Source organism: Homo sapiens, chromosome 3, assembly GCF_000001405.40.
Source record: "Homo sapiens chromosome 3, GRCh38.p14 Primary Assembly".
Taxonomy (NCBI): Eukaryota; Metazoa; Chordata; class Mammalia; order Primates; family Hominidae; genus Homo; species Homo sapiens.
The window spans coordinates 123,741,696-123,755,633 of NC_000003.12; the positions used below are offsets into that span (position 1 = coordinate 123,741,696).

General features: G+C 42.3%; 1 protein-coding gene across 17 annotated transcripts in view; it reads right to left on the bottom strand.

Annotated features, from left to right (window-relative positions):
• Positions 1 to 13,938, bottom strand: part of MYLK (myosin light chain kinase) — a 274,284-nt gene that overhangs the window by 131,647 nt on the left and 128,699 nt on the right. For 16 of the 17 annotated variants that reach the window (XM_047448184.1, XM_024453532.2, NM_053028.4 and 13 more), the window contains one exon: positions 10,636 to 10,843. The exons of the other annotated variant lie outside the window; for it this stretch is intronic. In XM_047448184.1, coding sequence (XP_047304140.1) covers positions 10,636 to 10,843 — 208 coding nt within the window. The remainder of the gene's footprint in view (positions 1 to 10,635; positions 10,844 to 13,938) is intronic. 17 annotated transcript variants of the gene reach the window in all.

Genomic DNA, 13,938 nt, shown 5'->3' on the forward strand with positions numbered 1-13,938 from the left:
CTATTCACTTTTATCTTATTTGTAATAGTGAAAGTTAGAAGCAACATAAATGTCACTCAGTAGGAAGAAAATAAGTAGTCAGGTAAAATGTACAATTAGACATCTTATTCTGCCATTAAATTATGTTTAAGAATATCTGAAACGTGCAGGTACATGTTAGGATATTATCTCATTCGTTCCTCAGCACACTCCAAATGGGCTATGATCCTCTCCGCTCCACTGGGCTCCATCCCAGCCACAATCTTGTCAAACCCAATGGTTGACACTCTGTCTCCATCTCACTCAGATGCTCAGTAGTATCTGACACAAGGTCCCACTCCCCTTCAAAGCACTTTCTCTTCTAGACTTTCCTGCTTTTACCAGGTTATTCATCTTCTCTCAACCTCCTTCTCTGCTCAACCTTTGCATGCTGGGGCACCCTAGGGCTGAGTCCTGGGCCTCTCCCCAGCTCCATCTAATTTCTCCCAGGAGGTCTTAGTCCCATAGCTTTAAATATCATCTATATGCTAAAGACCCAACCCATATCCCCACTAGAACTTCTTATTCACTCATCAGATGTATCCGGAACAAATCCCAGCACATTGTAGGTATTTAAATATTTGTTAAATACATTTTGTGCAGCATACAAAATTACCTATTTAATGTGATCATAATTAGGTAAAACTAAAATACCCAAAGACAGGAAAATGACAAGAAAAGGTATCATGTTATTAATACTGATTATTTTGGGGGTTGTGGTACTCTGAGTAATTTTATTCAGCTGTATTTTCTAAAACCTATAAATACAATGGTAAAGAAGAAATAAAACATGAAAAACATAATCTAGTTGCAAAAAAAGGGGCAGGGAGGAAGAAAGTAAAATCTGGCATCCAAATAGAGGATGGATAGGGCCTTCTAAACACGCTCCATACAACAGCATTATCCAGTCTCTAACATTTCATCACAAAATATCCGTGTACCATCCATTGTACTACCCACACTACTGTATCACTCATTTCATCTGGGAATAAAGATTTTATAAAAATTAGACTGATTAACTGATGAATGGATAAAGAAAATGTGGTGCATCCATACAATGAAGTATTATTCAGCTGTAAAAGGAATGAAGTACTAACACGTGGTACAACATGGATGGACATTGAAAAAGTGCATTAAGTGAAGGAGCTCAGACCCAAAAGGCCATGTATGATAGGATTCCGTTCATATGAAATGTCCAGGAGAGGCAAATCCATAGAGAAAGATGGTGGTTAGTAGTTGCCAGGAGCTGGGGGAGGAGGGGATGGGGAATTAATGCTCAATAGGTATGGGGTTTCCATTTGGGGTAATAAACAAGTCCTGGAATGAGATAGCAGTGATGGCTGCACAACACTGTGAATGTACTTAATGACAATTGTACACTTTAAAATGGTTAAAATGGTAAATTTTATGTTAGGTATGTATATTTTACCACAATAAAAAAAATTAGACTGAGCATTTTAAAAAGTCTTGGGAGCTAAATATCTTAATCCAAAAGGCTTAAATTCCTTTCTTCCTTAAAAAATAAATAAAAGCAAAAACATGGCACTTTCCCAAAGAATAGCAAAAGAATGCTGGGGAGAGATACTTCTATGTCAGGGTAAGAGGGTATGATGAAAACATATCACATAAAGCAGTCAGCTAAAAATGGAATTGATGGATGCTTATTTTAATATGAGTTAACAGAGAGTTCACATCAAGACAAAAAGAATTTAGGCTAAAATTACTAACAGGGTCTATTTATAGGAAAAATTTGAAGTTGCAAATTGTTAGATAAGGCAAAATTAATTTTGTAAAAGTATGAAAATCTGGCAGAACAGTAAGGTTATGTAGAAAAATAAGTGGAAAGGGGATTAAAGTAGAAATGCAAAAAATAGAAGAATGAGTTAAGAGAACTGGTGAGGACAGAAGCAAGTTGCTGAGAAAAAGGAGAGGCCAAGACACTGACGGTATTTGATCTTAGATTTTTCAAAGACAAGTAAAAGAGAATGCTGGCAGGTCTTAGGATTGGAAAGTTCAGTGGTGGAAGGGATAAGGTAGACCTAGCTCTGTTTGTCAGGTGATACAGAAAGACTGAATCGGGTCAGAACATACTGCTCAAAAAGTGAATAATGTGATCAAAATTGAAAGGAGCCGAAATGCTTCTAAAAATGTGCGGTGATATAATTTATCATCCAAACAGAGACTCTCAACACTGAGAGAGATGCAATTAATAATCATGCCAGGATAGCAGGAGAAAGCTAGGACTGTTCCAGGAAAAGTGGGGAGCAGTCACCCTACTTGTAGCCAACTTCAAAGTGTTTTTTGAGGATTACTTAAAATAGTGGTTCTCCACTCTATCAGAACAAATATCCGCTTTTTATAACACGTATTAACTGATATCCCCATGCGACCCTGATCAAAATTCCCTTCTAATCACACATACACGTATGTGATAATTTCAAAAAGAAAATAAATGTAAAGCCTTAACTAAAGCATTACGGTGATATAGAGCGAAAGTGAATTATAAAAATATGGATTTCAATATGCAACTGTTCAAGCATGACCATTTCAATTTACATAAGTGCTCAGGCACATTAGATGACAATGAAATGGCAGATTCTTGCATTAACTCCTAATGCATGTTTAGATTTAAAAGTGAATGATGAAAAATCATGCTGTACAAGTAGCACAGCAAAGTGAAAGAGCACAGGTCTACAGTGGACACTAGAATATTCAAATAAAAAGATGTATTATATAAAAAAGAAAGAAGAAAATAACTTTAAAAGAAGATAACATAGCAAGACAAGTTACAGACCACTGAAGTAGAGAACATTTTTAGAAAGATGATTAATGTATTAATGTGGTGTTAAAACAATTCTCCGTTTTATGATACGGGGTTGAGTAGTAAGAAAATTATCACAGTAAAATTTATCACAGGACTTCAAGGTAAAATCTCACCTTACCTTGAAATACACATTCAGTGAATGGTTTTGACAAAGGAACAGTGATAATAACAAGAGACTATAGAGAAGACATGTGCTAGGATGAAAACAGCAGTCATCTCCAAAAAATAATGGAAATACATAATTTTTTTACAATATAGATTTATTACTGTTCCCCAAAGTTTTAAAAAATGTGAGATGGCAATAAAACTCAATAAGATGCCTACATTTTATGCATCTCCATTAACTTAATACTATTTGCTTCTAATATTAAGAGTTTTAAGTCTCCTCTGATCCACATTTTCAGAGCAATAGTGTAGTAACAGCACTATCTATATATACAATTATATGAGGTAATTATATATAGATAGAAATGTTATATTTCATTTAGTAGAAAATTTGTGCAGAGTAAATTTTTCAAAAATTTTGGAGGATAGCTTCATTCCTTTTAATCTTCCCTCTAAATGATGACCATTTCTTCAATTACTGGGCTCTTTTTTTTTGTATTATTGAAGACTAAGGAACCACCGATTTATATATTTGTGGTGTCTGTTCTGGTAGGACTGTGAGGAACTGGGAAAAGATTCTTGCTGTGAAGCCCATCCTGTACCCCTAGTGCTTGCCCCCTAAATCCAGCAACACTCCCAATCACTGGGAAACCAAAAGGGCCCCCATGAATCTCCTAAGTGCCCCCTAGAGGGTGGTACTGTCTCTGTTTAGGGCCAGTGGCTTAAGAAAACCTCTGGAGAAGTGCCTAGAACCAGAATTTCTGGTTGAATATTAAACTTGGTATTGAAGAAAAAAGGAATGAAAAAAGTCAAAACTAAAGGTCACTGAAATTGCTCAATGTGAATAACATTTTTGCCAAAATTCTCCTCTTTGAAGCACTCTTTCTTTTAAGGCTCAGATATTATTCTAGATTTTGTTGTACATGTTAGTCTACTTGTTGAAGCTCTGACCAGTGCTTATATATACTAGGAACGGAATCCCTTTCTTAGTACAGGGGATGAAGTACCAAAGGCAGCTACAGAGGCAGTCAACAAATATTTACTGAGCTCTTTCTACAGGCCAGACCTATCATGGCTCAGGCCCTGTGCTAGGTTCCTTACACTGGGGATTCAGTAACTGATAAAAAGAGACATGTCTTGCCTTCATGGAGCTTACAGTTCTAGTGGAGAAGAAAAACATTTAAAATACTTATTTATAATTTATTTATTTATTTTTATTTTTTACGTATTTTTGAGATGGAGTCTCACTCTGTCGCCCAGGGTGGAGTGCAGTGGTGCAATCTTGGCTCACTGCAACCTCCTCATGTCAGACTCAAGTGATTCTCCTGCCTCAGCCTCCTGAGTAGCTGGGATTATAGGCACCCACCACCACATATGGCTAATTTTTATGTTTTTAGTAGAGACGGGTTTCACCATGTTGTCAGGCTGGTCTTGAAGTCCTAACCTCAAGTGATCTGCCCACTTTGGCCTCCCAAAGTGCTGGGATTACAGGTGTGAGCCACCATGCCCGGCTTTATTTACAATTTAAAGACAAATAAGTTCAAGTATAAAGAATTGTGAAGCCAGGCATGGTGGTACATGCCTGTAGCCACAGCTTCTCAGGAGGCTGAGGCAGGAGGATTGCTTGAGGCTAGGAGTTTGAGCTTTATTGTTCTTTATATCCTAGCACAAAGTTCAATAAAATCTGAGGAATGAAGAAGAGGCTAGAACTAACAGCAACTGGGAAAAGCCTAAATCTACCAAAGGCCAGGGGTGGAGATGGGAGAAGGAGGTGGAGGAATACGAGATGGAAAAAGGAGGGAGCATCAGTAGCAAAAATCTAAGTTAGGCCAGCAAGGGCAACCTGTGTGTATTTTGGAGGGAAAAAGAGGCAAAGGCAAAGTGGATGGTGAAGATAAAGGAGGGAAGAGATTCCAGCTAAAGGAAATTTGGAAGTCATCCTTCAAGAACAGAATGGGACCAAGTAACTTTCCAGCTAACTCTTTTGTATACTAAATGAGTAAGGCTGCTTCTGCAAAGGCAGTCTTGAACACACAACTATTTTACAGCAAAGAGTCTGGTGGGGCAAAAAGAATAATTTCCCTTTCTATCACATTTGTATTGTTAACTTTAATGAGACAGAAAAGGACAAAAACTCAGAGCATTTTAAGATTCTGCCTAGATTTTAAAAAATAGGGTATATACCCCTAGAAAATGAAGTCATTGGGGAGTTTTAGAGGTTGAAAAGCATTTATAAAGAACATAAATGGGAAATATAATTATAGGTCCTTCAGATGGGTAGAAAAGTTAGATAAAGGAAGACAGTCCAAAAGAAATAAGAGCAAAAAGAACCAAAAGAAGAACCATGACAAACATCCAGGAGGAACACAGTAATTTAAAACTCAGCCAGTATAAATAGACACGGCCTAAAAATGTATAATGTCATCAATCCAACCCAACATGAAGATAAAAGGAGTCTAAGAGATCTGCCCCTGAAAAACGGCAGTGGCAACAAAAGATGGCACAGGAGCATTTCCTACGAATTCAAGGTGGCCCGAGAATCCTGGTGTCAGTGGCACCACCAGAGCTGCCTTAGTGGTCACCAGGGCTACTCTTCTCCCTTAAATCTTGTGACAGGGGGTCATTCTCCCTTCTGCTGTCACAGTCTAGGTGACCTGCTGGCTGGCCCTCTCTCTCTCACATAGTCAGAGCCTCGGTCTGCACTGCAGTAGTTTCATGCGGGTGTGGATAGCAGGAGCTGCGGCACTGAGGGGTGGCTGGGGGTAGGGAGGAGGTGTGCTTGGACCATCTGGGAGGGGAGAGCCAGGCAGACGGCTCCAGCCCAGTCAGTGTTTTCAGCAGCCCTCCGGGTGATTCTGATGCATGCTCAAGTTTGAGAATCACTGTACTAGGTGGAATATATCACACATGTAATTAAATCCCTCCTTGCTACTCCAAGAGTGGTCTGTGGACCAGCAGCATGGCATCAACTGGCGGCTGGAAATGCAGACTCCCAGGCTCTGCTCCAGACCTATGGAATCAGCATCTGCATTTCAACCAGATTCGCCAGGTGATTTCTGTGCACATGCATTTGCACTAACCAATCCTGTAAGGTGGGTGATCCATCTGAGGTCTGGATCTCCTCTGGGGGCTGCCAGTTTGGCTTTCCCTGGGCTCCTGAGCTTATGTCCTTAAAGTTAACCCTTTATTACCTGAAGTGACTCTCTGGTCCTTGAAAAGTCAAAGGCCTTCTCAGACTGAGACCACTGGGGCTGGGGCACACCCACCGTTTGGGCACTCACTCCACCTCATGTCCGATGCTCACTGTGTGGATGTGTGATGACCCAGGACTACTCACCACCTGTTAGTCTGTTCTCGCATTGTTATAAATACCTGAGGCTTGGTAATTTACATGGAAAAGAGGTTTATTTGGCTTGTGGTTCTGCAGGCTGTACAAGAAGCATGGCACCAGTATCTGCTCTTGGTGAGGGCCTCGGGAAGCTTACAATCATGGAGGAAGGTGAAGCAGGAGCAGAAATGTCAGATGACGAGAGGGAGAAAGAGAGAGAAGGGAGAGGTCCCAGACTCTTTTAAACAACCAGATCTCATGTGAACTAACTGAGCAAGAATTCACACATCACCAAGGGGATGGTATTAAGCCATTCATGAGGGATCCATCCCCATGATCTAATCACCTCCCACCAGGCCCTACCTCCAACCTTGGAAATCACGTTTCAACATGAGACTTGGAAGGAACAAACATCCAAACCATATCAACACCTGTTCATCCATGTGGCTTTCTCTTTTTGTTCTGTGTAAACCTTGTTTATTCCTATTCAGGTGGCAGCTTCTAGAACTGCACTGTTCAAAAGAGTAGCTGTTAGCCACTTGTGGCTATTGAGCACTCAGCATTATAGCTGGTCTGAAGTGAGGTGTGCTGTAAGTGTAAAATACATCCCAGATGTTGAAGAATGTAAAATATCTCATTAATAATTTTTATATCGCTTATACATTGAAATGGTAATATTTTGGATATAATAGGTTAAATAAGTATTTTATTAAAATGAATTTTACCTGATATCTTAAAATGTGGCTACTGGTAAACTTAAGATTACACAAGCCTGGGCAATACGGTGAAACCCCATCTTTAAAAAAATAAATACATAAGGCCGGGCACGGTGGCTCACACCTGTAACCCCAGCATTCTGGGAGGCTGAGGTAGGCGGATCACAAGGTCAGGAGTTCAAGACCAGCTTGGCCAACATGGTGAGGCCCCATCTCTACTAAAAGTACAAAAATTAGCCGGGCGTGATGGCACACGCCTGTAATCCCAGCTACTTGGGAGGCTGAGGCAGAAGAATTGTTTGAACCCAGGAGGCAGAGGTTGCAGTGAGCCAAGATCATGTCACAGCACTCCAGCCTGGGTGACACGGCAAGACCCTGTCTCAGAAAAATACATACATACATACATACATACATACATACATACATACATACAAATACATAAATTAGCTCAGTGTAGTGGTGCAGGCCTATAGTCCCAGCTACTTGGGAGGCTGAGGTAGGAGGATCGCTTGAGCCCAGGAGGTCGAGGCTGCAGTGAGCTGTGATTACACCACTGCACTCTCGTCTGAGCAACAGAGCAAGACCTAGCCTCAAAAAAAAAAAAAAAGATTATATATGTGGCTCACATTAAATCTCTACAGGACAGGTCTGTGGTCCTCCACGGGAGAGGAAGTTCTCAGAGGGCAGGTACCACGTCTCTTCCTTGCTCTGCACCAAGCCTCATGACCTGACCTCTGGAGGTGGGCAAGTGTCAGAGCTGTCTTCAGATAGCCTTCCAGGGGCTCAGACCAAGGCTGATTTCCATCATGTAAGGCCCTGAATAACTGCATGGCCCTCATTAAGGCACTGGTTCTCTTGGGGGATTCTGAATGTTTCTTGGGCCTGATCACTACATTAAACGTCAGATGAGGAATCTTTCTCTCTTGCAGATTTCCCTTTTTAAGTAGCTCTAAGGATGCTAATGCCAGTTCAAACAATGATGAAGCTACCACTTTCTGGGTGCTACTTCCTACTAGCTGTGCTTATCCTTGTACCACACTGTGGGGCAGCCATGAACTCCAAGTCACAGAAAAGGAAGTAAGGCTTAGGAAGGTTAATTTCTCCATAGTTAGAAATTAGTAGAGCTAAAATTCAATCCAAGACCATTTGACTTTCTTTCCATTGCACAACACTGCCTCCTAAACTTGACCACTAAAGGATTACAAAACTCCACATATGAATTACACTCTGAATTCCTGGACCTCTGCTCACTCCAAGTAAGAAGCATAGCACAGAGAGCTGGAGGGAAGGCAGTTGGGCTGCTAGGTTTCCTTTGTAAAGGGTTGGGCTAGCCTGGCACAGCCAGCAACTCATCCATGGCAGAAGGGCCCAGAGTGGACTCTTTCAGGCCTAGGTCTGTGGGGTGGCCCCAAACCACACATTAGCTTAAAATCGGTCTTGCTGCAGAAGCAGAATGTGCATAGGACTCACACACATTTAAAGAGCTGCATCCTTTAGGCTGTTCTCTATCTCCTAGAGTTAGAAGACAGAAAGTATCTTACATTTTATGTCTTAATTTTATTTTAATTAACTGTATTTTAATTTTAATTTGAGGGCCTGAGTCTCCCCAAATGAAAACCAAAGGGGAGGGGTGGGGTTGAGAGCCTTAGCCTGCTCTCCTTCCTCTACAGCCCTCAGCCTGATTTCCTTTCCCCTGCCCTGAGTACCATGAGCTACTAAAAATTTTCCTGCTTGGTCATGACATCAGATCTCACTTCCTGAACAGTAGGGATTGAAGAAAACGTTTTCATATTATCTAGGTTTTATATGCCTCCCCTGTATTCCTAACAGACTCCAGTCTTCCCTTAATGTGGATCATAGAAAACAAGGGCTAGTCCAGGTTGTAGAGACCACCAAAGTCAAACCCTTTATCCTGCAGAAAGACAGGTGCAGAGGTTTAGAGTCACACATCTCATTGGCACAAACTCATAACTCAGTGCTTTCTCAATTTCCCCAGCTCTAAACAGAACTCAGAAGAGGGAACAGGGTAATTTTTATTTGTAGGCATCAACACAAAGTTCAGGCATTGAAAGGGGGTTCATGTAGGGGAAAGCACAGCACCAGGATGGCAGAGCTGAGGTCCATCCTGAGGTTCTGAGCAGGGGCCACTTTCCATCTGGAATGCCCCAGCCAAAAGCACTCAAAGGTCATTAGAGTAAGTGAGTCACTCAGTTAAAGAATTTAAGGAAAGCATCCAAACTATGCATGCTCCACTCTGTGAAACAGCCTGTTGGCCCTTCTGTGGTGTGGGGAGACAGGGAAAACAGGGCAAAGGGCGGCCATTGGCCCAGGTGCACCTCGCCCCCTTCTGGAACCTTCCCTGACTACCTTAATTCTCCATCTAGTGTCCCCTGAAAACCAGATTGGGAGGACAGTCTTCTGAAAGAGGAGAAGTGAGTCTGAGCCTTGGTTTATAAACTTCCAGTCTTAGAAAGACCGGGAAGGGTCAAGGGAACCTTGTGTTACTTCTGAGGGGCTGACAGACCCCATGTCCTTCCTGATATCAAGGCTTTAAGTGTCAGCCAGGGACCTGAACTAGAGATACTCTTTCCAGTGGAGTGGCTTCAGCATGGCAGAAGGACACACTAGTAGCAAAAAATATTTTACTTATGGTCCAATTTTTCTCCTAGAAGTTTTAAAGTTAACAGAATTTTTTAAAGTACAGAGTGGGGAAAAAGACAAAAATATTAGGTTGGTGCAAAAGTCATGTGGTTTTTGCAATTACTTTTAACTAATATGTTAACACATTGATGTGTTTACTTCCTACATATTTTTCTGAGTTACATAATTTTTAATAATGAGCATGTATTATTTCATAATGACGCTAAAGATGATGTTAATGAGGATAAAAACATTGTTCATTCATTCCTCAAATATTTCAGTATCTACCATGTGCCAGGAAGCTTTCTAGATGTTGGAGATAAGGCAATGAGCAGAGAAAGTCCATCTCCTCCTAAATCTTCCATTTAGTGGTGGGGGATGGAGAAGACACTGCAATGTGAGATGGTAATACGTCCTAAAAGAAAAACCTCGAGTGGGGTGAGAAGATGGAGAGTCATAGGGCTGGGATGGTTGGGAAAGGGCCTCTAAGGAGCAGACATCTGAGAACAGACTTGAAGGATGTGAAAGGAGCGTCAGGTGAGAGGCTGAGGGAAGGGCTCTTCTTTTACAGAAGGAACAGCAAGGGTGAAGGCCCTGTAGCCTTGCTCAAAGAAGGGCCAGAGGTGGGTGTGACCACGGTGGGCTGAACAGGTGCAGAGTGGCAGAAGATGGGTCTGAGAGCTAGGGAGGGGCCAGATTGGGTGGGGCTCTGTAAGACCATCCTAAGGAGTCTGATTTCAGCTGCAGTGTGAGGGGAAGCCATGGGAGGGCTCAAGCAGGAGACAGGTGATACCTAGTTTGACAAACATCATCTCCTGGATGCCTCCCTTGTTCGCAGGGACCACATCTCTCCCATTAGATTGGAAGGTCCGGGGTTCAAGGATGGGGTGTGTTTTCTCTTGTCAGTTCCTCCATCCTTCAAGAGAGGGCTAAGGCAGGAGCTGCAGGCCTTGGGGTAACTGAGAGCTCAGCTCCCTCCTGGACTCGGGCCTCCTGGGACTCACCTTCTACTGTCAACTCCACTGTCACCTGGCGAGCACCACTGCCATTGGTGGCTTCACAGGTATACTTTCCCCTGTCCTCCTCATGGACAGCATGAATCACAAGGCTGAAAGTCCCCCGGATGCCGCAATCCAGCAGGAAGCGGCCCCCGCTGGTGATGGGTTGCCCGTTTCTGTGCCATGTCACCTGGGGCTCTGGGTAACCCCGGACCTTCAAGAAAAAGAAGAAAGGGTAAGAGCCTGTATTTCATGAGTACTCTCTCTGTGTCAGGTATTGTTTGGAGTGCTTTACATGTGTTAACTCATTTAATCCTCATAACGCCCCCATTTCATCCTCATTTTACAGATAAGGAAATCAAGGTACAGAGAGTTTTGGCAATTTCCCAAGGTCTCAAAGGTAGAAGGTGGCAAAGTCAGGCATCCTGGGTCCAGAATCCACTATGCAAATGACTCTCAAGCCCGGCTGCATTTTAGAATCATCCAGGGGAGCTTTAAAAAAACACTAGTGCCCAGGTCCCACCTTAGACCAATTAGATTAGAATCCCAGGGGGCCAGGACTGAGTACGGGGATTCTAGACCAGTGCTTCTCACTCCAACATGCTAATAAATCACTTGGTGATCCTGTTAAAATGCATATCCTGCTTCTACAGGTCCGGGCTGGGGCCTGAGATTCTGCAGTTGGGACAAGCTCACAGATGCTACTGATGCTGCTGGTCCCTGGAACTCACCTTGAGTAGCAAGGTTCAGGACCTGCACTGCCCAGCACGGTAGCCACTGGCCACAGGTAGCGATGGAGCACTCAAAATGTGGCCAGTGAGACTGAGTTGCACTGTAAGTGTGCATTACACACTGGGTTTCGAAGACAATACAAAAAAGGGCAAAATATCTCAATAATTAAAAATATGGATTAGATGTTGAAAAGTAGTATTTTTGATATGTTGAATTAAATGTATTCAGATTAATTTCAGTTGTTTCTACTTTTTAATGTGGCTACTAGAAAAGTTACAATTACATCCAGGCCTTGTGACAGTCCTATGGGGTAGTGCTGCTCTAGACCACTTGCCTTTCTCTAACTGTAGTTAGCAGCTGACATTTGCTGAGTGCTAAGGGTTCAGCACTTCTCTAAGTACTTGGCTCATCTGAGTTTCCTTTTTTTTTTTTTTTTTGAGATGGAGTCTTGCTCTGTTGCCCAGGCTGGAGTACAGTGGTGCAATCATCTGAGTTTCATAGCAACCCAGTCAGAGAGAAGACATCTCTCAAAAGAGGGGAAAATGCAGAGATAAATTCAAAGAAAAGAATTCACTTTGAGTTTTAAAGAAAGGAAGTCCCCCAAGGGCCTTCAAACACTTGAAACTCAGTAGGCTCTTCAGAATTAACTCATCTTTGGAGGATTAGGGTTCAGAATGGCTCACTAATGCACAGCCAAGGACCCAGAATTGGGGATTTTAGCACTGGAAAGTAGAAGGCATCATAGGAGCTTCCTGAGAACAAAGTTGTTTGCATTACAAAACAGTGGTAGCAATAGTTTTATCCATGTATTCACTTCAAGGAAAGAGAGAATGGATACGGATGAAGCAAAATCAAAATTCACTGAATGACCCCCAAATTGCATTTACAAAGAAAGGCTTCACTGATCTGTAGCAATAATCCTACTCACACCCCCTGCAAGGTCACAGAGTGATGCTATATTGGCGCATGTGCACACAGGCCTGGGCATCCAAATACAGTCTCTTCCCTAAGCATACTAAGCGAGGAAAGAGCTATGCTAAAAAGCGCCGGTCGTTGTCTTTGGACTGTGCTCAGTTTTCTTCCCAGGTGCTCAGCCCCTAGCCCACCCTTAGACCAGAGTCTCTGTAACCAGGATGCAGATTTCTTCCTAAGGAAGGAAGCCTTGAATAACAGGGAAAACTCCCAAAGTGAACAATCCCTCTTTGATTATTCCATATAGTCACCCCTCAGTGCCAGTTTGTGAATCTCACAAGACTGCCTTTCTGTCCCCACTAATTTGTGGTCAAGCTTCAGTGAAAAAGAAACAACAATAAAACTCCAAATCAATATGGTCCATCTTATTTACAATGTCTGGAAACAAAAATATATCCCTTTCCTATCAAAATCTAAACTATACTCATGACAGAGATTGAGTACTTTGGAGGAAATGCTGAGACTCTGGAGTGGATTCCCCAAAAGCCATGTGAACAATGCCTGAAGCCATTGTAGCCTCACCAAAACAAGTGTTCCAGAACTTAGGCTGACAGTGTTGAAGGAGACCGCATCCATTGGGATGCACAGGGTCTCACAGCCACTGTAATATAAAATGGTGTGTTAACAGCTGTTGTCTCTGGGTGGTTAGGATTGTGAGTCTCCTCCTTTCTTTTTAGTTAACTATTAGTTTCTGAGAGTTCTGCAATAGTACACCTGGCCTTTGCAAAACAGAAAAAAGAATTTTACTTAAAAAATGCATTTCTTTTATATTAGTGTGCTGTATAATGAATGTATATAGCACATTCATTAATTTGTTGAGGGCCTCAAGGAATTTAAATCTAGTAGCGGAAATAAAAGAGCCATGCAAATAAATGTTATGCATGTTTAAAGGTGACAGATGTCATGCGCCCATATAAAATCATGTCATCTTGTGGCCCTAAAGGCAGAAACGTTCATGCATGGGAACATCAGACAACAATTACACTGTTAAAGTATTCTTCTCGTGTGAAACCCTTTCCTACAGAAGGTGGCCCCTCAGGACTCTGCTCATACAGTGAATCTGCAAACCATCATTGTCTTCTCCTGCACTCCATTAGGCAGGGCTGGTCTACCCAGGCTTCTATCAGCTTCAGAGAATGGGAGTGCCAAGCACTGCAACTAGGAGGAGGTAAATCATTAACTGCGCCAAAGGCGTCCTGGCATTCCATTAGCAAGCATACTGGCCCCCTGCAGCAGGGCCAGCTCTGGTGGCTCACTGGGCTCTGGGGCATCAATGATTAACTGGGGACATTGCAAACGTTCCAGACCTCAGGGACACAATCCTTCTGTCTCTTTCTCTTTTCCTCTCACTTTCTACACATACCCCAAGCTTACCTCTGAAATGCCCTCTTAAAATAAATATTTAGGGATTTGAAAATATGCTGAAACTGGCATCACTTAAGAAAGTTGCAGTTCACTATGATACTTTTATAGCACATTGGACCTGAAGCAAAGGCAGGAATTTTTGTGACCTTGTTCAGTTCCAAGGTCTGAATGATTTGAAACTTTAATACTTGCCCTCCCAATATGGAAAATCAATCCGTTTTTACTGTCTGCCACTACCCT